This window comes from Homo sapiens, chromosome 11 (assembly GCF_000001405.40).
Source record: "Homo sapiens chromosome 11, GRCh38.p14 Primary Assembly".
NCBI classification, from domain to species: domain Eukaryota; kingdom Metazoa; phylum Chordata; class Mammalia; order Primates; family Hominidae; genus Homo; species Homo sapiens.
Genome location: NC_000011.10, coordinates 60,226,688 through 60,251,821, shown reverse-complemented (window position 1 = coordinate 60,251,821; position 25,134 = coordinate 60,226,688). Strand labels below are relative to the sequence as shown.

The 25,134-nt window shown below is 37.9% G+C and overlaps 1 protein-coding gene across 5 annotated transcripts in view; it reads left to right on the top strand.

The window, feature by feature from the left end:
* The first annotated feature begins 8,684 nt into the window (after positions 1-8,684).
* MS4A4E (membrane spanning 4-domains A4E) overlaps positions 8,685-25,134 on the top strand; it is a 42,868-nt gene continuing 26,418 nt past the window's right edge. For all 5 annotated transcript variants that reach the window (XR_007062493.1, NM_001393391.1, NM_001351235.2 and 2 more), the window contains exons 1-3: positions 8,685-8,864; positions 21,751-21,910; positions 23,195-23,228. Coding sequence is in view for 4 of the 5 variants with exons in the window: in NM_001393391.1 (NP_001380320.1) it covers positions 21,767-21,910; positions 23,195-23,228 (178 nt within the window). In the remaining variant the exon portion in view is untranslated. The remainder of the gene's footprint in view (positions 8,865-21,750; positions 21,911-23,194; positions 23,229-25,134) is intronic.

The following is a 25,134-nucleotide window of genomic DNA, read 5'->3' as shown; positions in this document are numbered from 1 at the left end:
GCTTTCTGATAGTTGAGGGCACATGCATTTATACAATAACATGCACACACAAAGTACCGTCCCATGTGAGTGTTTAGGGGGAACGCTAGGCAAATCTGAGGCTCCAACCACTTTTTGTGTACTTTTCACAATTTCCCAGCAGATGGCAGCAAAGTGTCCTGAGGACGGTTGGGTTTTTCTATGTAATTGAGCTCTGGAGGCAGTGTAAAGCTGGAGGCTAAATTGTCCCTCTAGATACACAACAGGACATAGGCAGGAGTAGCTTTCTGTTCAGTTTCCTCTGAGGCCCGAAGAGAACAGATGACACAGAGTCATGCCAAGGGCAGCCTCTGAAGCAGGTAATTATTCAGATAGAATTGAAATCAACTTTTTTTTTTTATGAGAGGAGTATTCTGTTATCAATATTGTGTAGAATTTCTTACAAGTAGGTGATAAAAAGCAGATGGCAGTTTGTTATTGTTGTAAAAAAAAGCCCAGGACCAGACGGATTCACAGCCAAATTCTACTAGAGGTACAAAGAGGAGCTGATACCATTCTTTCTGAAACTATTCCAAGCAAAAGAAAAAGAAGGACTCCTCTCTAACTCATTTTATGAGGCCAGCATCATCCTGATACCAAAATCTGGCAGAGACACACACACACACAAAGAAAATTTCAGGCCAATATTCCTGATGAACATCGATGCAAATATCCTCAATAAAATACTGGCAAACTGAATCCAGTAGTGAATCAAAAAGCTTATCTACCACGATCAAGGCGGCTTCATCCCTGGGATGTAAGGCTAGTTCGACATACGCAATTCAATAAATGTAATTCATCACGTAAACAGAACCAATGACAAAAACCACAGGAATATCTCAATAGATGCAGAAAAGGCCTTCAACAAAATTCAACAGCCCTTCATGCTAAAAACTCTCAATAAACTAGGTATTAATGAAATGTATCTCAAAATAATAAGAGCTATTTATGACAAACCCACAGCCAATATCATACTGAATGAGCAAAAGCTGGAAACATTCCCTTTGAAAACCAGCACAAGACAAGGAAGCCCTCTCTCACCACAGTTAGGCAAGAGAAAGAAATAAAGGGTATTCAAATGGGAAGAGAGGAAGTCAAATTATCTCTGTTTGTAGATGACATGATTGTATATTTAGAAAACCCCATTGTCTCAGCCCAAAATCTCCTTAAGCTGATAAGCAAATTCAGCAAAGTCTCAGGATACAAAATCGATGCGCAAAAATCACAAGAATTCCTACAGACCAATAACAGACAGAGAGCCAAATCACGATTGAACTCCCATTCATGATTGCTACAAAGAGAATAAAATACCTAGGAATATAACTTACAAGGGATGTAAAGGACCTCTTCAAGGAGAACTACAAACCACTGCTGAAGGAAATAAAAGAAGACACAAACAAATGGAAAAACATTTCATGCTCATGGATAGGAAGAATTAATGTCGTGAAAATGGCCATACTGCCCAAAGTAATTTATAGATTCAATACTATCCCCATCAAGTTACCAATGACTTTCTTCAAAGAATTAGAAAAAACTACCAAATTTCATATGGAACCCAAAAAGAGCCCATATAGCCAAGACAATCCTAAGCAAAAGGAACAAAGCTGGAGACATCACACTACCTGACTTCAAACTATACTACAAGGCTACAGTATGGTACCAAAACAGATATTAGACAATGGAACAGAACAGAGACCTCAGAAATAACACCACACGTCTACAACTATCTGATCTTTGACAAAACTGATAAAAACAACAATGTGGAAAGGATTCCCTATTTAATAAATGGTGTTGGGAAAACTGGCTAGCCGTATGCAGAAAACTGAAACTGGACCCCTTCCTTACACCTTATACAAAAATTAACTCAAGATAGATTAAAGACTTAAACGTAAGACCTAAAACCATAAAAACCCTAGAAGAAAACCTCGGTAATACCACTTAGGACATAGGCATGGTCAAAGACTTCATGACTAAAACACCAAAAGCAATGGCAACAAAAGCCAAAATTAACAAATTGGATCTAATTAAACTAAAGAGCTTCTGCACAGCAAAAGAAACTATCATCAGAGTGAACAGGCAACCTACAAATGGGAGAAAATTTTTGCAATCTATGCATATGACAAAGGGCTAATATCCGGAATCTACAAAGAACTTAAACAAATTTGCAAGAAAAAACAAACAACCCCAACAAAAAGTGGTCAAAGGATATGAACAGACACTTCTCAAAAGAAGACACATATATGGCCAACAAACATATGAAAAAAAGCTCCTCATCACTCATCATTAGAGAAATGCAAATCAAAACCACAATGAGATGCCATCTCATGCTAGTTAGAATGGTGATTATTAAAAAGTCAGGAAACAACAGATGCTGGAAAGGATGTGGAGAAATAGGAATGCCTTTACACTGTTGCTGGGAGTGTAAATTAGTTCAACCATTGTGGAAGACACTGTGGCAATTCCTCAAGGATCTAGAACCAGAAATAGCATTTGACCCAGCAATCCCGTTACTGGGTATATACCCAAAGGATTATAAATCATTCTACTATAAAAACACATGCACATGTATGTTTATTGCAGCACTGTTCACAATAGTGAAGACTTGGAACTAACCCAAATGCCTATCAATGATAGACTGGATAAAGAAAATGTGGCACATATACACCATGGAATACTATGCAGCCATAAAAAAGGACAAGTTCATGTCCTTTGCAGGGACATGGATGAAGCTGGAAACCATCATTCTCAGCAAACTAACACAGGAACAGAAAACCAAACACTGCATGTTCTCACTCAGAAGTGGGAGTTGAACAATGAGAACACATGGACACAGGGAGGGGAATATCACACAACAGGGGCCTGCTGGGGGGTCGGGGGCTAGGGGAGGGAAAATATCAGGAAAAATACCTAATGTAGATGACAGGCTGATAGGTGCAGCAAACCATCATGGCACGTGTATACCTATGTAACAAACCTGCACTTTCTGCACATGTATCCCAGAACTTAAAGTATAAAAAAATTAAGAAATTTTTAAATAAGAAACCTGAAATGTAGATATTCTATAGGAAAAGTGACATGGTTTCTTTAATAGATAAATGACATGAATAAAAAAGAGTGGGAAGGGGAAAATATAGATTGAAGGAGACTTAATTAACATATCAACAAAATGCAATGTCTGGCCTTTGGATGGATGGGGCTGGGGTGTTCTTGACTTAAGAAAATGAACAAATATGTATGAGAAAATAATAAAATTTGAATATGAACTCTATATTCGATGATACTAAGGAATTATTGATAATGCTGTAAAATGTGATAATGATATTAGAAAATGTTATGGAATAAGTGTCATCTGTTAATGATCCATACCAAGGTATAAACTAGTGAGGTGATATTAAATGTGAGATTTACTTTAAAATACTCTTACAAATATGTGCAGGGTGGAGAGAGATGAGAAAACATTGGCAAACTATCGATAATTGTTGAAGCAGACTGGTGGATGTATGGTAATTCATTATACTAACCTCCCTACTTTTGTGTGTGTTTTAAATTTTCCAGAAGAAAAAGTAAAAGACAGAAAGTGGTGATGGTTTCATGAGTGTATATTTATCTACCAAATGATCAAGTTGTATACATTAAATATATACAGCTTTTTGTATGCCAATTATACCTCAATAAAGTGGATTTTTAAGACAGATAAGAAATAAAAATAAGATAGATAAAAACTACACGTGATTGTGAAATTAATGAAATGAGTGTTTTTAGCTCCATCAGTTCAGTTTGGTTCTTTCTTAAAATAGCAATTTCATGTTTTATCTACTGTACTATTTTATTGTATTCCTTAGATTCATTGGATTAGGTGTAGACTTTCTGCTGTTGATGATCTTTGTTCCTATCCATGTTCTGAATTCTACGTCTGACATTTCAGCCTTTCAGCCTGGTTAAAAACCATTGCCGGAGAACTAGCGGAGTAATTTGGAGATAAGAAGAGACTCTAGCTTTTTGAGTTGCCAGTTCTTGCACAGCTCTCAGTCATCTGTTTGTGCTGATGTTCCTTCAATCTTTGAAGCTGCTATCTTTTAGATGGGCTTTTTTTTTTCTTTTATTGCCTTTGATGCCCTTGGGGGTTTGATTGTGGTATAAGTTGGGTTTAGTTGATTGGCTTTGATTCTAGTCAGTAGACTGGCTTTGATCCTAGTCAGTTCCTGGGTATTGGATGAGGCTTCCCTGATTACTGTCTCTCTGCTCACATTTATTATGTTGGGCATTCTGGTCCACAGAACTCCCTTAGGCAGGGGCCACAGTTGGCGGACAAGTAGTATCCTTACAGCTTAGCGCTAATCTGCTGTCTGAATGCTTTCCAGGGTAACACAGTGTTGTCCCTACCTATGGAGTTTAGGTAGAAGCAGGACCACTGGGCTATAAGCTGGGGTGTCTGGTTACAAAAGGCAAAGATTGGTGGAGTTGCCCACCCTATCATCTGGGTGTTTCTGGGGCAAGAGAATGCTGCACTTCTTGGTAATTTCAGGCAGAAAGAAGTAGCACTGCTGAGCTGGAAGCTCCAGCAGATGTGGCTCACCTGTCTACCAGTGGTAGGAGTGGGTAGGGCTGTCCTCTCTGGCATCTGGATGCTTCCCAGGGAAACAGGAGGCTGCACCTGCTGGCTCAGTTCACAGAGAAGTAGGACCACTAGGCCAGAACTCTAGCAGGCATTGCCCACCAGGCTACCAGTGGCAGGGTTGGGTTGCATCACCTGCCCTGCTGTCAGGGTGTTTTCTGATTACAGGAGGCTGTGCCCTCTGGCACACCTAAAGACTGCAATTTCTGGCTGAGTTCACATATAAGAAGGACTACTGGTCTGGAAGCTCTAGCAAGCATTGCCTGCCCGGCTACCAGTGTCGGGGGGTGGGTGCATTGCTTGTCCTTCTTGTCTGGGTGCTTTCTGGGACAAGAGTAGGCTATGGCTACTGGCCAAGTCCAGGCAGAAGTGGAAATGCTGGGTAGGAAGGTGGCACAAGGAATATTATGTGGAGATTATTTCAGAACCCTACAACAGTCCCTAATCAAGAGAGGCAAGAGCTAAAGGAATCAGGAACCCTAGGAGGGCTATGGGACTGCAAGTGTCTTTTCTTGGTAGAAGGCCCAACAGTTAGCTCAATTGTCTGTGTTAAATGTCTGGTAGTTTGTCATTGATACCTTCTGTTACATACCCTCTATGCTCCATCAATCGTATTCTAATCCTACACAAGCATTTTTTAACTCTGTATTTCTCCCACCTCCTCAAGCCAAGCCATCATCTTATTTTTATCAAGAATATTGCTTACAGCCTCTGAATGTTCCCTGGTTTTTTATGTATTCTGGATATATATCCTTTCTTAATTACATGTATTAAAATATTATCTAATATTCTGTGGGTTGTCAACTTTTGCTATGTATATTTAGAGGTTCTGTTATTAAATATATACACACTTAAAATGATTACATCTTTCTGAAGATTGTACTATTTTTATAATTAAAAATTAATCCCTTTGCTCATCAGTAACATATTTTGCTCTAAGGTCAATTTTCTCTGATCAGTTTTTTTTGGGTTAAGGTTTGCTCGATACATCATTTCTCATCCTTGTACTTTACAGTTTTTGTATGCATTAAAATTTACTTCTTTTTAACAGTAATTAGTTCAGTTTTGACCTTTTAAAATTTTATCTGAAATATTTGTATTTTATTACATATGACGTATTTATTTATATATTTGGGATTAAATCTACCATCACACTATTGACTTTCCTGGAGGAAATAAATGTTCTAAATGTTATTAGAATTTGATAAATTAAATACACATGCTTTAATTTTTAGGATTACAAGAACACACAATGAAAGACTTTATAAGTACTAAAATTAATTAGAGGGAGAAATAATGCAATAAAGGGGTATATAGAACCTTCAATCAAAAAAATAGAAAACATTTTTCGTTTGTTCATTTGTTTGTTGTATTTGGTTTCTCTGTTTTACGATATTGATTTTCTTAAATATTCAGTGTTCATTTACACTTTCATTTGGTAATTTCTCCTATCATGTCAGGGAATGTAGGTCTTGCTTACCATAGCTTACATCGGGTGACTGTGAGAGAAGAGGGGGCATAAAGCCAGGTTATACATACAGATTGGTTGTGATGTAGTTGAGAGAAAGCCCCTTCCTTCTCCAGACTAAGGTGACCTCTGTGTCTTCATCATCAGGATCCCAGCTCTAAAGAGTGAGCGCAGGACTTTCATTTGGGAATCAATTCCATAATATTCTCTGCTTTTTGCTTTTCCTTTATACCTTGTGAATGGAAGCTTAGACCTTAATTCTTGTCTCTTTCCTGTTTTTTACTCAGAGCTGGCACTCACATTCTATATACTTGTCTAGAGCAGAACCCTAAAACAGTTTTTTGGTTTGGTTTTTTGCTCATAAAACAGTTCTCATATTTTGGTTTGGGGATAAACTACCTTGTTAGGTGATGCCTGTGTGAGGGACAGAGGAACAACTGACCCCGCTTTTCCAATATAATTTTAAAAATTAATTAACAACTGCTCTGGGCTCTGACCTACTCTGCTGCTTGTTGTTTTGTCACTGAACTTGAGCTCTTTTTTATTTGCTTTTATTTGTATAGTAGTTAGTTTTGTCCTATGCTTATTTAGAGGTAGGGTGATTCTATTTATGTTTCTCTGTCAAATTTCAATTTTATTGTTCTTTATATCACCATAAATCCTCAATCACTTGTCTGCTAAGAATAACACTAATAATATCTCACTTCACACTATATGGAAGAGGAGGTAAGATTGACATCTGTTCTTAGTCTAGAATTTCAACCTCTCTTATAAAGTCATGAAACTCTGTACCTTTGTCTTCTGTAATGCCACATTTTCCTAGTTTGCCTGTTATCTTCTTTAATCTCTTTTTGCCATCCTCTGGAAACCCTTATTTCTGATAATACTGTTTCTATTCTCTAGCAAAAAGGGTCTGATTTTTTCTGCCTCCTCCCACAAGCCTGGGTAACCTCATCCCTCTGGGTGAAGAGCTGTTGGGTTTACCTCTACAGCCATGTTCTCATTCCCTAGCTCCTGCCAGTTATCCAACTTTTGTGAACCTTATTTGAAGGTGCCCACACAATTCAAATTAAATATGCTCCAAGTCTTACTCTTTGTTCCTGCAGTTCTGTCTTGGTCCATGTCTATTGCCTTACTGAATGGCTCTATCATTCATTCAGTTTCCTAACCCAGAATCTGAGCGCCATCCTTTCCTGTTTTCTCTCCTGATTTACACATCCATTATATCAACAAGTACTGTCATTTCTCGTTCCTAAACATCTTTCAAATCCATTCATTCTCTCCAACTTCACTAGCATCATAGGTAGTTCAGTAACCATCATCCCTTCCCTAGAGAACTGCCTCTTTCTTAACCCTAACTCCCTGATTTCAGTATTATTTATTCCTATTGTTGCTTTACATGAAAACCAGGACAATATTTCTGAAATATAACCCATTTAATTCTGAGAATTAAAATAATTTCAGATTATAGACAACAAAGTTTTTGGGATTAGGCAAAACTGGATTTCAATCTCATCTATACCAGCTATATGAATATCTCTGAGTTTCAGTTCCATCTTCTGGAAAATGGGAATAATAATGTTACCTAGCTCCATCCTTCTTCCATTTGTGTGTCTTTTGCTTATTCATCAGGTCTCCAATTAGATGTCCCTTTATCTAGGAAGTCTCCTCTGCCTACCTACCCAACGTTGAGTTCTTTGATCCTCCTATGAGCTCTCTCAGGATATCCAATTTTACCTTGCAGATCACTGATTATAATGGGTTGTAATGATTTATTTATTCATCAGCATTGCCACTTTACCTTGCAGGTAACTGATTATAATGGGTGATTTATTTACTTGTCTATATTGTCAAGTAGCCTATAAAATCCTTGAGCGAAAATCATTTTTCACCATTTTATCTGAAGCACATGGCACACTGCTTGGCTTATAGTAGCTTTTCTCTAAGAAAATGCTGAGTGAATGAAAATTGCATGCCACTTTGCTTTCCTCCATGTAAAGAAGGCATTATTTTATTTTACCAATGAATCAGGTTCAGGGGATTAACAAGGTCATACAAGAAATGATTGCCATTGGGTTTGTCTTAGTCAAAGACCAGCTTGTTCTATGATACCAGCTGCTTCTTTGACTTAGAAAGGTGTTGTATTAATTATTGCTGTACAACCAACTTGTTCCCATTTTGTGGCTATTCATGTTGAACCTCCAAAGGTGAAATATCATGAAAATAAGATATTTAAGTTGTGTATATTAAGGCACAATTACTTTTTCACCAACCTAATACAATAGTAACAGTAGTTCTCTGGGAAGAAGAGTACTGTGGAAATGTGTGAAATTGTGAAAGGGGGCATTTATAAATTACCATTTACTTAGTTGTGTATATAACAATCTTTGAGCAGAGTCTGGCAAACAGAAAATCCTCCACCACTGATACCCACAGTAATTAGCACTATTATTTTCATAGGAAAGACTGTATCAGGCAGCCACTGCTTTTTCAGCAAATTTCAAAATAAACGTCCACACCCATATTGGGAACGCAAAATCAGTTAATGCTTCCGATAAAAAAGAGGAACTAGTTGTGTGTCTCAGAAGTTCTCAACACATCCTTTAAGGTTCCAAACATCTACTAGAAAAGGAGTGCAGATTTAAACTGAGTGAGGTGTGGAGTGGGGGAAGCTGACTGTGTCTGGAACAAAGAACTTTGAGGAACTTGCCCAGAGCCCTGCACTCATCAGACCTGCAGCAGACATTGCAGGCCTGAAGAAAGGTAGGTCCAGGGACTTGCCTTCCTAGGCTCTCGGACTGATAGTTTGTTTCATTTCCTGGGTTTAGGATTTCTGGGAGTGGAGTGAGAAAAAAAAATGAGGTCACTTCCCATGACCCAAGCTGGTAGTCAGGGTTGGGGTGGATTGAGTGCACATTTAAATATGCATTTGGTGAGGGTTGTGGGTGGTTGAGGAACAGTCTTCGCTACAGTTGATGGGAGTTAGAAAAGCCTCCTAAAGGCTGACACTGGAGGCTGGATGAAGTTGTTTTAGTTACTTTTGTTCCGTAAGTTCTCAGGATACCAAAACACTGTAAGCAACATTTTAAACTTTGATTAATTACCTCATCTACTGTTAATGCACTTCTTCCATGGTCTTTATTCTTTGTCTCTGACTGGTTATTTTTATAATTCAAGACTTAAGAAAAGATCTAGCACGTGCAGAATTTGGTGTACATGGAGTAGGGCACAGGCAGGGTCCCCAGCCTTGTACATTTAGATGGGCTGTGGCCTGACGTAGTTCTCCAGTGGTCTTTGGCACTATTCATGTGGCACCCAGGCAGTAAACTGAGGCTGCTCATGATAAAATCTGCAAATGAAAAACATCTTGTAGACTTTTAGCATTCTTAGGATAAGAAAGAAGCTTGTAAGTAGTCGTAGTCATTGTAATCTTTCCCCAGATGAAGTAAATGAAATCCAGAAAAGGGAAATAATGTACCTAGAATCACACAAGTTAACAAAAGGGCTAGGAGCAAAAAACCCAGAATTCTTGGTTCCTAGCCCAGGCCTTTCCCCCTTTTCCCTTCCCATGCCACCATTTCTGCATCCCCATCATCCTCCTAAAAACCATCCAGATTCAGGCCTCATTTTGGGTTTCTAGTCTATTTGATAACTCTGCCAAGAAAAAGGGGATGACCGTGTATACCACTCTCCTCATGCTCTCTTGTGTTGTGACCCATAAGGGGGATGGTGACATAAAAATGAGGAAACAAGAGACTGCTGGTGCTGCTGATCCACAAGGAGACTGGGGCCAATAGAAGAGGGAAGGGTGGTCTAGGTTACCCCACCTCTTTATCCGGGGTGGGGAGGAGGGGCGGGGAAGACATTGTAGTTGTCAAGAACCTGATGCATATAGGTGATGTGGCAAAACCAAGGTTTAGATTCTTCTCCAACCTGAAAGAAATGTCCCTCCCTCATATGTATCCAATATTCTCTGCAGTTAAAAAATATATATTTTGATTGTAGAGAAGTGGAGTCTTGTAAACACACGCTTTCTTTCCTTGGGGACCTTATCTACCCTAGATAATTAACACATGGATTTCTGTGGTGTAAAGATAGGAGGCAGTTATATAAATTTATGTCAAGAATGTCTTATAAAGACAGAGCACCAGCCTTGAATGACCAGAACCTGACCTATGTTACCAAAGAATTATGGAAAATCATAAGAGTCAATTATAAGCCTTAATTTGATATAATGGCTCGGCCCTCAGGAAGCTTACAGCCTTACCCGAGAGGCACTAAACACAGAGGGAGAACTACCAAGTGTGTTTGATAAGACAGACCCAACATGTCCTAAATTCTCAGTCTGAAGGTGTGCGTGAGAGATTGAGGCCGAGTTTCCCTTACATTAAAGAATAGGCCGGGTGCGGTGGCTCACGCCTGTAATTCCAGCACTTTGGGAGGCCCAGGTGGGTGGATCACGAGGTCAGAGGATCGAGACCATCCTGGCTAACACGGTGAAATCCCTTCTCTACTAAAAATACAAAAAAATTAGCCAGGCGTGGTGGCAGGCGCCGGTAGCCCCAGCTACTCTGGAGGCTGAGGCAGGAGAATGGCGTGAACCCGGGAGGCGGAGCTTGCAGTGAGCCGAGATTGCACCACTGCACGCCAGCCTGGGCAACAGAGCGAGACTCCGCCTCAAAATAAATAAATAAGTAAATAAATAAATAAATAAATAAATAAAAAGTACACATTTAGATGGACTAAGAAGAATTATCTTCAGTTTCTTTCAAAATAACTTTGGTTTCTGTGGTGTAAAAGGAAAATAACATAGATTTCTTAAATCCTTAGTTACCACTAGAGGTTGAGTAATCCACATGCGGGAAATGGGGGCTGTAGGAGAATGGTGTCTGAGAGAAGACAGAAACTATGCAAAACTGTTAGTGTGTGAGAAGATTAGATGCTGTGGTGGGTTTGTTGCTATTCTTGTAAGGTGGTCATGGCCGGGGGAGTGGAACATTCCTGCAAACGGGCTCAACATATGCAAATGTCTCAATATAGGAATGAAATTACTTTAGAACAACTTAAATAAGTCCAATATACTTGGGGCTTTAAAAAATAAAAAGGAGAAATTCAAGGTAAGGCTACGATAATAGATATGGGTTGAAGTAGCAGCAATATCAACAACATTAAATTTTTATCTTTATACTAAAGGTGGTGAAATGCAAAGAAAGGACTTTAAAGGGGAGGGTGACACAGTTGTCTTTGCATTTGATCATTTGGCTACAAAGTCAGGGGTGGGTTGAACATCCAAGGCTACAAATGGACACCGGGGAACATTCAGAGGCTGTAAGCAATACTCCTGATAAAAATAGGATGATGGCTTGGCACGAGGAGATGGGAGAAATACAGAGTTAAAAAATGGTTGCGTAGAATTAGAATATGATTGATGGAGCATAGAAGGTATGTAACGGAAGGTATCAATGACAAACTACCAGACATTTAACACAGACAACTGAGCTAATTGTTGGGCCTTCTACCAAGAAAGGACATTTGCAGTCGCATAGCCCTCTTAGCATTCCTGTTACCTTTAGCTCTTGCCTCTCTTGATTAGGGACTGCTTGTAGTGTTCTGAAGTAATCTCCACATAATATTCCTTGTGCCACCTTCCTTTATCTGAAAGATAAATTTTGAGGAAGACTGAATATCTTCTAATTTGGTCTTCTAATGTTTGAAATAAAAATTACCTCTTCTCTTTGCTGGAACAATTTGATAAATGATCAAATTATGGGCTTTATTATAGTGACTTCAAAATTAACCCCAGAGGGGGACAATTCTCTCAAGTTCAGCAAAATTTGAGGGTATGGATTCAGTTTAAGACCAAAAATAAGGCCTGCTATTTTATTTTATTCGTTTGCTCCAAATCTAAATTTTGTATTCTGTTCAGGGGATGCTGAAGTCTACTTATAGGTTTGATTATACCTACTCAATAAAATGTAAATGTAAGTCACCTCATAAACTCCATTATCATTAGAACAGAGATTACAAGAGGAAGAGGAGGGCCTCTTGGCCCACCTCTACATAGTCTTGTATCTACCTAGTCCATGAGAGCAAAAACAAGCACAACCCTGACTCTTCTGACCAATCTTTGAGACAAACTGCAAAAGAGAGGAAGAGTCAACCTCTGACAACACGGTACCATGAATAACATGCTCTCACCAGTTATATAGACCCCTCCTTTCTGCTTTTTCACTTCCCCCAAGACAGGACAGGTTGGAGCAGGGTCATGCCAGGAATAAAGCCCCTCTTTAGCATGTCCTTGAGTGGTAGGAAGTGTTAGAGGAAATTTATGTTTTATACTTCAAGCCAGAAATGAGTAAGTGATAGTAGGAAGACCAATAATAATAGTCAATAGGTAGTTAGTATTTATTAAGTGACATGAACTGGTTTAAATGTTTACCTGTGCTATTTCATCATTAAATTTCTCTACGAGATATGCTGTATTATTCACAGAGTAGAGTTACAGAAACACAAGATTAATTAACTTGAGTAAGGAGTGGCAGGGCCAAAATTTAAATCCGGGTAATTTAATTCCAGAACTCGTTTGCTTAAGAGGATCCACTACACTAGTCTGGCGAATAGAAGAACTCTTTTATTTGCACATTTATTCATTCCTCAGTTGTTGGACATTTGGGTTGTTTGCACCTTTTGACTATTATAGGTAATACTGCTAGGAAAATTCATTTTACAAGTTTTTGTGTGGACATATGTTTTTATTTCTCTTTGTATGTATCTGGGAATGGAAGGGATAGGTCGTAAGGCTGGTTCATGGTTGACATTTTGCAAAGAATCAGTTAGGGAGGAATCCTCCTTATGTTTTAGGAATAGTTTCAGTAGGATTAGCTCTTTGGTATTTATTAGCTCTTCTGTGGTATAAACACTTCTTTGTACATGTGTTAGAATTTGGATGTGAATCTATAGGGCTCAGTAATCTAATCTTCCACCTTAATAAACTGGAAAAAGAAGAACAAACTAAATGGAAACAACTTGTAGAAAAGAAATAATAAAGACTAGAGTGAAAATAATAGAGAGTAGAAACACATTAGAGTAAATCAACAAAACCCAAAGTTCATTCTTGCAACGATCAACAAATTTGAAAAACCTTTAGCTATATTGAATGACAAAAATTACAAGAAGAAATCACTAAAATCAGGAATGAAAGAGGCAGCATAATTACCAAACTTACAGAATTAAAGAAATTATAAGGGATACTATAAAATTATATCCAAATAAATCAGATAACATATGAAATGGTCAAATTTTTATGAAGATACTACTAAAACTGACTGAAGAAGAAATACAAAAATAAGAAGAAATACAAAATCTGAATAGATCTGTAATAAGAGATTAAATGAGGAATTTTAAAAACTTTTATAAAGGAAAGCCCAGGCTCCTGTGATTTCACTGGTGAATTTTACTAAACATTTTAAAAAGAATTAATACCCTTCCATCAAAAACTAGAAGAGAAGGGAACAATTCCAAACTTATTACATAAGGCTAGTATTATTTTGACACCAAAATCAAGAAAAGACAACATAAGCGAACAAAACTACATATGAATGTCTCTCATGAATACAGACACAAATGCTAAAAAAAAATTAGCAAGCAGAATTCGGCAACATGTAAAAAAGATTATATATGAGGACAAAGTCAGATTAATCTCAAGAATATAAAATTTAGCATTCAAAAAATCAGTGTTACATAATGCATTAATAGAATAAAAGACAAAAACCGCAAAAAGCCACCACGAATGCCTCAATAGATTAAAAAATTAACAAAATCCAATACTTTTTATGATAAAAATACTCATCCAATGACGAATAGAATGGAATCACTCCCCTACCAAATAAAAAGCTATTAGAATTAATGAATGAGTTAAGCAAGCTTGAAGGATACAAATAATATACACAAATGAACAGACACTTCAAAATAAGATGTACATGCGGCCAACAGTCATATGAAAAAATACTCAACATCACTGATCATTAGAGAAATACAAGTGAAAACCATAATGAAATGCCCCCTTACACCAATCAGAATGACTATTAACAAAAAGTCAAAAAAATAAAAATAACAGATACTAACGAGGTTATGGAGAAAAAGAAATATTAATACACTGTTGGTGTGAGTGTAAATTAGTTTAACCACTGTGGAACACTGTGGTGATTCCTCAAAAACCTAAAAACAGAAATACCATTCAACCCATCAATCCCACCGTGGGTATATACCCAAAGGAATAGAAATCATTCTATTTTAAAGACACATGCACACATATGTTCATTGCTGCACTATTCACAGTAGCAAAGACATGGAATCAACTTAAATGCCCATCAATAGTAGGCTGGATAAAGAAAATGTGGTATATATACACCATGAAATGCTATGCAGCCATAAAAAAAGAACAAGATCATGTTCATTGCAGGAACATGGATAGAGCTGGAGGCCATTATCCTTAGTAAACTAACACAGGAACAGAAAACCAAATACTGCATGTTCTCACTTATAAGTGGAGCTAGATGATGAGAACACATGGGCACATAAAGGGGAACAACACACACTGGGGCTTATTAGAGGGTGGAGGCTGGGAAAAGGGAGAGGAGCAGAAAAAATAAATTATAGGTACTAGGCTTAAAACATGGGTGATATGGTTGGGCGCAGTGGCTCATGCCTATAATCCCAGAACTTTGGAAGGCTGAGGTGGATGGATCACCTGAGGTCAGGAGTTCAGGACCAGCCTGGCCAACATGGTGAAACCCATCTCTACTAAAAATACAAAAATTAGCCGGGCGTGGTGGTGCATGCCTGTAGTCCCAGGTATTCGGGAGGCTGAGGCAGGAGAATTGCTTGAACCCTGGAGGCGGAGGTTGTAGTGAGCTGAGATCACACCACTGCACTCCAGCCTGGGTGACAGAGCAAGACTCGGTTTCAAAATTTAAAAAAAAAAAAAACCTGGATGATAAAATAATCTGTAAATCAAACCCTATGACACAATACCTGTATGACCAACCTGCACATGTACCCCTGAAGTTAAAATAAAAGTTAAATTAAATATATATACATACAAAAATAAATTGGAGTTCTATATGCTAGCACTGAATAATTTAAAAATGAAATTAAGACAACAATCTCCTTTACAATAGTTTCAAATAGAACAAAATTTATCAAAATAAGCACAAGACTTGTACATCGAATACTACAAAATGTTAAAAGAAATTAAAGAAAATTTAAACAAATGAAAAAAAACTCATATTCAGGAACTGGAAGGCTTAATATTGGTAAGATGGTAATATTATTCAAATTGACCTACAGATTCAACACAATCTTTATAAAAAATTCAAGCAACCTTATTTCAGAAATTTGCAAGCTAATTCCAAAATCATATGGAAATACAAGGGACTCAGAATAGTCCAAACAATTTTGAAAGAGAAAAATAGTTTGGTGCACTTACACTTTCCAATTCAAAACTTACTACGAAGCTATAATTTTAAGACAGTGTGGTATTGGCATAAGGACAGACATATAGAACAATGGAATAGAATTGAATAAAATTGTCTAAAAATAAAAATGGGATGGAATAGAATCATCTAGAAATAAACCTCTATATTTATGACTAGTTGATTTTTGACAAGGATAACACAACTACTAAGTGAGAAAAGAATAGTCTGTTTAGCAAATCATGTTTGAACAACTTCAGATTCACATGCAAAAGAATGAAGTTGGACACTTTCTTACACCAAACAAAACAGCTCAAAGTGGAGCAAAAACCAAAATGTAAGACCTAAATGTAACTAATACCGTTCTATTTAGGTATATTGAGACCTATATGTAGACTTTAGCATCCTGTGAGCAGAACACAAATTTTAGATATAGAGCAAAGAGATAAAATAAAATAGCAGGCCTTATTTTTGGTCTTAAATTTAATACATACCTTCCAATTTTGTTAAACTTGGGAGAATTGTCCTCCTCTGGGCTTAAAGTCATTACAAAAAAGCCCATAGTTTGATCATTTACCAACTTGTCCCGGAAGGGAGACAATTTATTTCAAACATTTGAATACCTAAATAGAAGATATCCAGTCTTCCTCAAAATTTCTCTTTCAAAAAAGTAAGGTGGTGCAAGGGACAGTATGTGGAGATTATTTCACAACCCTACAAGTAGTCGCTAATCAAGAGTGGCAAGATCTAAAGGGAACAGGAACCCTAAGAAGGCTATGAAACTGCAAGTGTCCTTTCCCTGTTGAAAGCCCAACAATTAATTACTTTGTCCGTGTTAAAAATCTGGAGGTTTAAGATCAGTCACTGTGGCTCACACCTATAATCCAAGCACTATGGGAGGCTGAGGTAAGAAGATTGCTTGACCCTGTGAATTTGAGAACAGCCTGGGCAACATGGCAAAACTCTGTCTCTACAAAAAGCACAAAAATTAGCTGGGTGTGCTGGTGTGCACCTGTAATCCCAGCTACTTTGGAGGCTGAGGTCAAGGCTGCAGTGAGTCATGATAACGCCACTGCACTCCAGCTTGTGTGATAGAGTGAGACCCTGTCTCAAAAACTTCTGGTAGTTTGTCATTAATGCCTTCTGTTACCTACACTGTATGCTCAATTGCTCATTAAATGATGACCTTCTTTGCCTCTTTTGACAGTTTTTGATTAGAAGTTTATTTTATCTGACCTAAGTACAGGCAGTCCTTCTCCTTTGACTACTATTTGCATGGAGTATTTCATCCCTTCACTTTCAGCCTGTGTTTTTTCTTAAAGCTAAAGTGAGACTCTTATAGCATATAGATCTGTTTTTTTTTTTAAATTCAGCCACTCTGTGATTGAAGAATTTAATTCCTTTATATTTAAGGTTATTATTAATAGGTAAGTAGTTAGTAGTGCCATTTTGTTATTTTGGGGGGGGGGGTTGTTTTTGTAGATATTTGTTTATTTCTTCATCTCTTGTCTCCCTTTGTGGTTAGGTAATTTTATGAAGTACTAAGCTTTTAATTTTTTTTATCTTTCATGTATCTGCTGCAGTTCTACAGTTCTTATAGTTCTAGAGGCTGGGAAGTCTAAGGGCATGTATGACATAAACCTCTGGTGAGGGTGATCCCATGGAAAAAGATGGAAGTGAGTGCACAAAGCAAAGAGAGAGAGATGGGGCCAAATTTATTCTTTATCAGGAGTCCACTCCTGCCATAGCTTACCCTCTCCCATGATAATGACATTTATCCATTCACGAGGATGAAGGTCTCTGGGTGTAATTACCTCTGAAAGGTCACACCTCTTAAAACTGTTACAATGGCAATTAAGTTTTCACATGAGTTTTAGAGGGGACAGTGAAATCATAGCATTTCATCCACGACCCTCCAAAACTCATGTTCTTCTCACATACAAAATACAATAATTCTGTTTCAATAGCCTCAAAAGTTTTTACCCATTCTAGCATCAAGTCTAAAGTTCTAAGTCCAGAGTCATCAGAAGCAGATATGGATGAGATTCAAGGTATGACTTATCTGGAGGCAAATGTTTCCAGCTGTGAGCCTGTGAAATCAAAACCAGTGATTTGTTTCCAAAATATAATGGTGAGATAGGTATAGAATAGACTGTCTCAGTTCAAAAGAGAGAGCCAGGCAAGAAAAAGGCATAACTGGTTTCAAGTGAGTCCAAAATCCAACAGAGAAAACAGAATTATGTTTTAAATCTGGAGAATAATTTCCTTTGACTCCATGTCCTGAATCCTGGGAGTGCTGATTGGGGCCCTCAGACATGACCCTGCTCCCATATCTTTGCTGGACTCAGTCCGTGCTTCAGCTCTGTTAGGTTGGAGTTGCATGCTAGTGGCCTTATAGTTCTGAGATCTCAAAGGTAGCCCCACTCCCAAGGCTCCACTAGGCATATCCCTAATTGGGACTCTCTGTGTTGGCTCTGACTCCGCATTCCCACTCAGCTTTGCCCTAATAGAGGCTCTTAGAAGTGGCTCCACTCCCATAGCTATATGTGATATTCTTTGATCCTAGGTGGAGAAAGCCATGCCCCTACATCTCTTGCAGTCTGTGAGCCTGTACACATGGATTCCACCAAGGTTTACAGCTTGTGCCTTCCAGGCACAGGTATTCCAGGCATAGTGGCAGTGCGAGCTGAGGTCCTAGGCTCAGGGTTTTGCAAAACTGCTGTGGCATATGGCACAGGTTCACTCACCCAGTTGTGGCTGGATGCAGGTTACCCACAAAGCTAAGGCTGTAACTCTAAAGCACACCTCAGTAACTCAAGCCCATGGAGCAGGGATGGAATTGAGACTGATTCTGGGGTCAGTGCACAACATCATCAAGGCTCCAGGGAAAGAGGGGTGCTTTGGAGGCTTGAGCTCTGGGGAGCAGGTTACTGTTGAAATTTTGGTTCCAGAGACAATCGGGCATAGCAGCAATTCCAACCCTGGGGAATGGAGTGCCACATAGTGTTAACTCTAGACCCTGGGATGGTAGGGCATGGCAATATCCCAGGCTGTGTAAGGCTGGATGTAGCAGCAGCAAGGCCTCAGGAATGACTAGGCCTGTCTGTAGCTTTTTCCTTGGGTTTCTTGGAGCAGGTGCAGAAATGACCCCCTGGGGAGTCAGGGTTTCTCAGAAGCTTGGACTCCAGGGGACAGGTCAGTTCCGGGGAGGTGGGGCACTGCAGCTATTTTGCCTGGATGGTGGGGTGACGTAGCTCAATCAAAGCTATGGGTGCCCAGAGAGTGGAGCACAGTTTCAACTTGAGTTTGGAGGGGCAGGGTGCACCAGCGACTAAGATGGGGGCATGGAGCAGTTCCATGGGAGCCTGGCCTCAGGGAGTAGAGAGTAGATAGCGGCAGTTTGGCTCAGGAATGGCTTCCACGTGTGCATAGTGTAGTGGTGGTTAAGTCTCAGAGATGGAGGGGTGCAATGGCTACTCACTCCTGAAGCAGAATGCACTCTAGCCAGTGATTCAGTTCCAAGAAGGGGCAGCACAGTAGCAACTCAGGCCATGGGGGCCAGGGCACAGTGTCAGCTCCTCCTCTGGGATAGAACAGACATGTGGACTTCAGGTAGCTCTGTCAGCTGAGCTCAGAGCCTGTAAAGACTCTATGTGTCTCCAGTAGTAAGACTGCAGGTGTCTATGGTGGTGATGGGAGCTGCTGGGATCCTGTCACTAACCTTTTCCCTGTAGGAAGAAGGCCCTCCTGACTCAGAGCTGGTTCTAACTGGGGGAAGGGGTGATGGAAGAAAGGTGTTTTCTCTCCTTCTTCCTGCAGCCATTCTGGGTTTCTGTGCTCTACAAGATTTCTGCTACTCCTTTGCTGTTTTCTGGAGCTCTTCCTTAGTTATTTTGGTTGGAATGTAGTTGTTTATTCATTTTTGGTGTGTGTGTGTGTGTGTGTGTGTGTGTGTGTGTGTGTTGATGGCGATGAGGTTAGTAACTTCTAATTGGCCATCTTGCTGACATTCTCTAGAATTCTGAAGACATATTATAGACCTTTTAATTCTAAACTTCTAATCTTTTAAACTTTCTTCTATTGTGACCATTTTCTTGTTTTTCTGTAGAATTCTTGGTGATTTCTTCAATTTTTTTCCAGTTGACTAATTCTATTTTCAGCTATTCCTTGTTATTTAACACATTGGCAAAATTTTTTCTGTCAACATTATTTTATATTTGAAATTTGTTTGAGACAATGTTGCAAACATATTGTGTCACTTTTTGCACTTTATCTTTAACTTTTCATTTTTGTGATTTCATTTTCAATTGAATAAATTATCCATACTTTTTACATATTCTATATGTGATATATATCCAGATGCTCCTAATCTGTGGGACTTCTTGGAGGCTTGTATCAAGCATATCTACTTCCTTCTTTATGGAATCCAATGTAAGACTTATTCAGAGACTAATTGCTTTCTAAGCATGTCTTTTTGTTGGGATTTCTCCTTTACTACTAACTTTGATAGTTCTCAGAACTATAATTCTCCAGGGAAGTGATAGGTATCAGCTGATGCATTTAATTTCTAGGATTATGATCAATAATTTATGCTGTACACCTCAAGGAGACTCTTATCTTTGATAAGTATAATCTGAAATCTGTGACCATAGTGTCCTGTTTCTTTGATACTGTTTCTACATTTTCCCCCAAATTTATCCTTATGCAATCTTTGTTTTTAACACTCATTTCACCTGACTTATAGAGATTTTAGTTGTTTCCCACTTTCATAACAAAATGGAGTTCTAATTCTGTTTGTCCAAATTGTTTTTGGAACTTTTCTAGATGAGATAAGAATAAGAACATTGACTTTTTGGTTACATTCTTACATTTAAGTCCTTATCTTAACTACTTCAATCACATTTACATTATTTATTTCTTATTATTAATTATATTTATCTTTCTTTTAAAAATACTTAACTTCTTATTTTATAATTTGTAATTTTGTACTTTTTATTTTACTGCTTTTCATAATTTTGAATGTATACATTACTAAAATTAATGCTCTAAATGATTAATCTTTTATTTTCATTTTAACTTTTCCCCTCTAGCTTTCTCTGAAATTCACCCTCCTTCTCCCAACTTTAATCAATTTTATTGCTAGATAGCTAATAATGTATTTTCATTGATCTATCAGAGATAAATACACGATGACAATTATTTCCACAGAAATCTGAATTTTTTCTGTACATAGCAAATTTGGACTACAATAACTTTTTTTTTCATTTATGTTACCAATAAAAGGGCACACATCTCCAAACCTGACAGTTTTTAGCATATATGCTCCACTGAAATCAACTATGACTTGAAGGATATTAGCAAGCTTCACTTCCCTAAAATTTTATGGAAGTGGGCCATGAAACATCTGAATATCAATTCAAATACATAGGTAAAAATTTCCATGTGGCTTTAGCCTATCTCCACATTACTTGGTTGGAATCATTATACTGAGGAGAGACAGAGGCATAAAAGTAATATCTTTGTGCTTGGAATTTCAAAAAATGGCTTTATGTATTCTTGCTATGCACCAGCAAGTTAGAATTTAAAGCACTGTAATAGGAAAAGAGATTTAAATTTGTGGTGCCAAGAATATGACTCAGAGCTGTAAGTTTCATTCCCAGAGTTCAGAGCTTATGGGACAAAATACAAGGTTACATGGGAAGATTTTCAGCCCTGAGAATTTAGCTGTGCTTTGGTTATAAAAGGAGGAACTATACAATACTGTACAATAAATTGGAAGGCAGATGAATTTGTGTAGCTTATTACTATTATAAAAGTAATCCTTCATGGGGAAGTGGCTGTAATCAAGAGACTAGGCATTAAAAGGGATAGAAATAAAATCTGAGCAGACTTGGGATTTGAAGTTGAAGAAATTTCTCTAATTTACCTCACTTCTGTCAACATGTCCTCTCTCCTAGCATATTATTGATATCATATAACATTTAAGTCTCTCTCTCTCTCTCTCCACCCCCCACTTAATGTGTTGCCTCTTCCACTTCCCTAGCTCTAACAACTGTTATAATATTGGAGGGGAATGTAGACCAGGTTTTGTCCTTAGGGAGGAATCTGCCCCAAAGTGTCAAGACTTTCTTTTGTCATTTCCAGGACCTCATCCTAAATTACATTTCTTATTGTAGCACCTTTTCTGCTGCCATGACAACCATGCAAGGAATGGAACAGACCACTCCAGGGGCTGGCCCTGATGTGCCCCAGCTGGGAAACATAGATGTCATACATTCATATCTGTGTAAAGGATTGCAAGAGAAGTTCTTCAAGAGGAAACCCAAAGTCCTTGGGGTAAGTCAATTGCAAATCTGGGAGAAGACCAATAGTGTTGTAAACTCACATTTGATCAGAGCTAATGCCCAATACACTGTCCCGCTAGCCTCATAATACATCAACCAGCCCTAGTAACATCAGAATTTAATTTCAGGCCCTTTCTTTGAAAAAATATATAATATTCTATCACATCCTGCTTCCAAATTAATTATATTTAAAATATATTGACTTCAGATCTATTCTAGGGTTGTGGGTCAGCCATGATAATTATATTTAACTTCAATATAGAAGAACGGCAAAAGAAAAGGCCCACCTGTCCACTAGCTGACTCCCCCTCCACAGGCCTTCCTGACAGCTGATAGATGTATATTGCTACTCTTTCTTTCTTGCAGCTTTTCTTAGCCTACTGCTCAGAGGATGAAAAATCTGCTATTCTCTGAGCATTTCCTTCTGGAGTCTCAGGCGAACGTGTCTAAAAACAATATAGAATTAAAACAGTGACAGGTTAGGGAAGGTGAAAGAACATTAAATATAGGTTTATCACTAGCCCAAGCTTCAAACCACTGAGAAAATGTCACTGTGGATTCTTTGGATTCCTTCTCTTTTTTTGCATTATTCATTTTTTTGGAGAGAAATATAGTTACTTCTCATAAAATATGTTATTTATGTTGGCACATACTAGGTTCAATTTTTAAATGTATGGATAATTATTTTAAAATATACTGTATGTTTTAGAGCAGTTTTAGGCTTAAAGAACAATTGAGAGCAAAGTACAGGTATATCCCATATGCCCCTTGCCCCGACACATGCATAGCTTTTCAATTATCAACTTCCCCCACCAGAGTGGGACATTTGTTCCAGTTGATGAACCTATGTTGACACATCATTACTCAAAGTACACAAATCACAATGGGGTTCATTCTCTGTGTTGTGTGTTCTATGGGCTTTAACAAAGGCATAGTGATATGAATCTACCTTTATAGTATCATACAGTATCCCACCAATCCCTGGCAATCACTAATCTTCTATCGTCTTCATAGTTTGCCTTTTCCAGAAAGTCATACAGTTAACATTATAAATTAGGTAGTTTTTAAAGACTGCCTTCCTTCACCTAATAACATGCATTTAAATTTCCTCTATGTTTTCTTATGGCTTAATAGCTCATTTATTTTTAGTACTGAATAATATTTCATTGTCTAGAGGTACCACAGTTTATTTATGCATTCACCTACAGAAGGACATCTTGATGGCTTCCAAACTTTGGCAATTAGGAGTAACGTTGCTATAAATATCTGTGTGCAGGTTTTGTGTGGACATAAGTTTTCAACTCATTCGGGTAAGTATGATTACTATATTGTATTGTAAGAGTATGTTTAGTTTTGTAAGAAACTGCCAAACTGTCTTCCCTGTTACTTTGCAATTTTGAAGATTTCAGTCAACAATGAAGGAGAGTTCCTGCTGTTCTACATAATTGCTAGCATTTGATTTCCTCAATGTTCTGGATTTTTTACCATTCTAATAGGTGTGTAGTCCAATCTCATTACCATTTTAATTTTCATTTCCCTGGTGACATAAGATGTGGGGCATCTTTTTATATGTTTATTTACCATCTCCATATCTTCTTTCTTGAGGTGTCTTATTAAAGTTTTTGACACATTTTTTTAATTGGGATGTTAGTATTCTTAATGTTGAGTTTGAATTTCGTTGTATATTTTGAATAACAATCCTTTGTCAGGTATGTTTTTTGCAAATACCTTCTGTCAGTCTGTGGTTTATCTTTTCTTCTGACAGTGTCTTCTGCAGAGCAGAATTTTTTAATTTTAATAAAATTAAGATGATTAATTCGGTATTTCATGGGTTGTGCCTTTGGTATTGTATTGACAAACTCATCACCAAAACCAAGGTCATCTAGATTTTGGCCTATGTCATCTGTTAAGAGTTTCAGAGTTTTGAGTTCAACATTTGGGTCTGTGATTTATTTTGAGTTAATTTTTGTGAAGGATACAAGGTATGTGTCTAAGTTCAATTTTTGCCTATGGAGGTCCAGTTTTTTAAGTAGTATTTTTTTTTTGGAAAGACTATTCTTCTAATTGTATTATCTTAGTTCTTTATCAAAGATCACTTGACTATACTTCTGTGTCTATTTCTAGGCTTTCTATTCTATTCCCTTGATCTATTTGTCTATTTCTTTGCCAATATCACACAGTCCTGATTACTATCACTTTATAGTTTGTCCTAAAGATGGGTAGTGTTACTCCTAAAACTCCTTCTTCTTCAAGATTGTTTTTGTTATTCTAAGTCTTTTGCCTTTCCCTATAAACTTTAGAGTCAGTTTATCAATATACACAAATAATTTGCTAATATATATATATATATTTTGAGATGGAGTCTGGCGCTGTCACCCAGGCTGGAGTGCAGTGGCCCAATCTCAGCTCACTGCAAGCTCTGCCTCCCGGGTTCACACCATTCTCCTGCCTCAGCCTCTGGAGTAGCTGGGACTACAGGCGCCTGCCACTATGCCTGGCTAACTTTTTGTATTTTTAGTAGAGATGGGGTTTCACCATGTTAGCCAGGATGGTCTCAATCTCCTGACCTCGTGATCCGCCCGCTTCGGCCTCCCAAAGTGCTGGGATTACAGGGGTGAGCCACCACGCCCGGCCATTTGCTAATATTTTGAGGGAGATTGCATTAAATCTACAGATTAAATTGGGAAGAACTGATGTCTTGACAATGTTGAGTCTTCCTATCCATGGACATGGAATATCTCTCCATTTATTTAGTTATTCGACTTATTTTTTTTTAAGTTTCTCTTATAGATTTTGTACATAGTTTGTTAGATTTATGCCTAACAAACACCAAATACCAATACCTAAATATTTAATTTTTAGGGTTGCTAATTTAAATAGTATTGCATTTTTAATTTCAAATTTCACTTATTTACTATAAGTACATAAGAAAGTAATTGACTCTTGTGTATTAAGCTTGTATCCTACAACCTTAATATAATCATTTGTTAATTCCAGGAGTTTTTGGTTGATTCTTTCAGATATTCTACACAGACAATCACGTCATCTGTGAATAAAAGCAGTTTTATTTTTTTCCTTACCAATTGTATACCTTTATTTCCTTTTCTTGTCTTACCATTTCAGCTATGACTTCCAGTAAATGGTAAAAGGAGTAGTGACAGGCTTATCCCTGCCTTGGTCCTGATCTTAGTGAGAAAGCTTTGAATTTCTCCATTA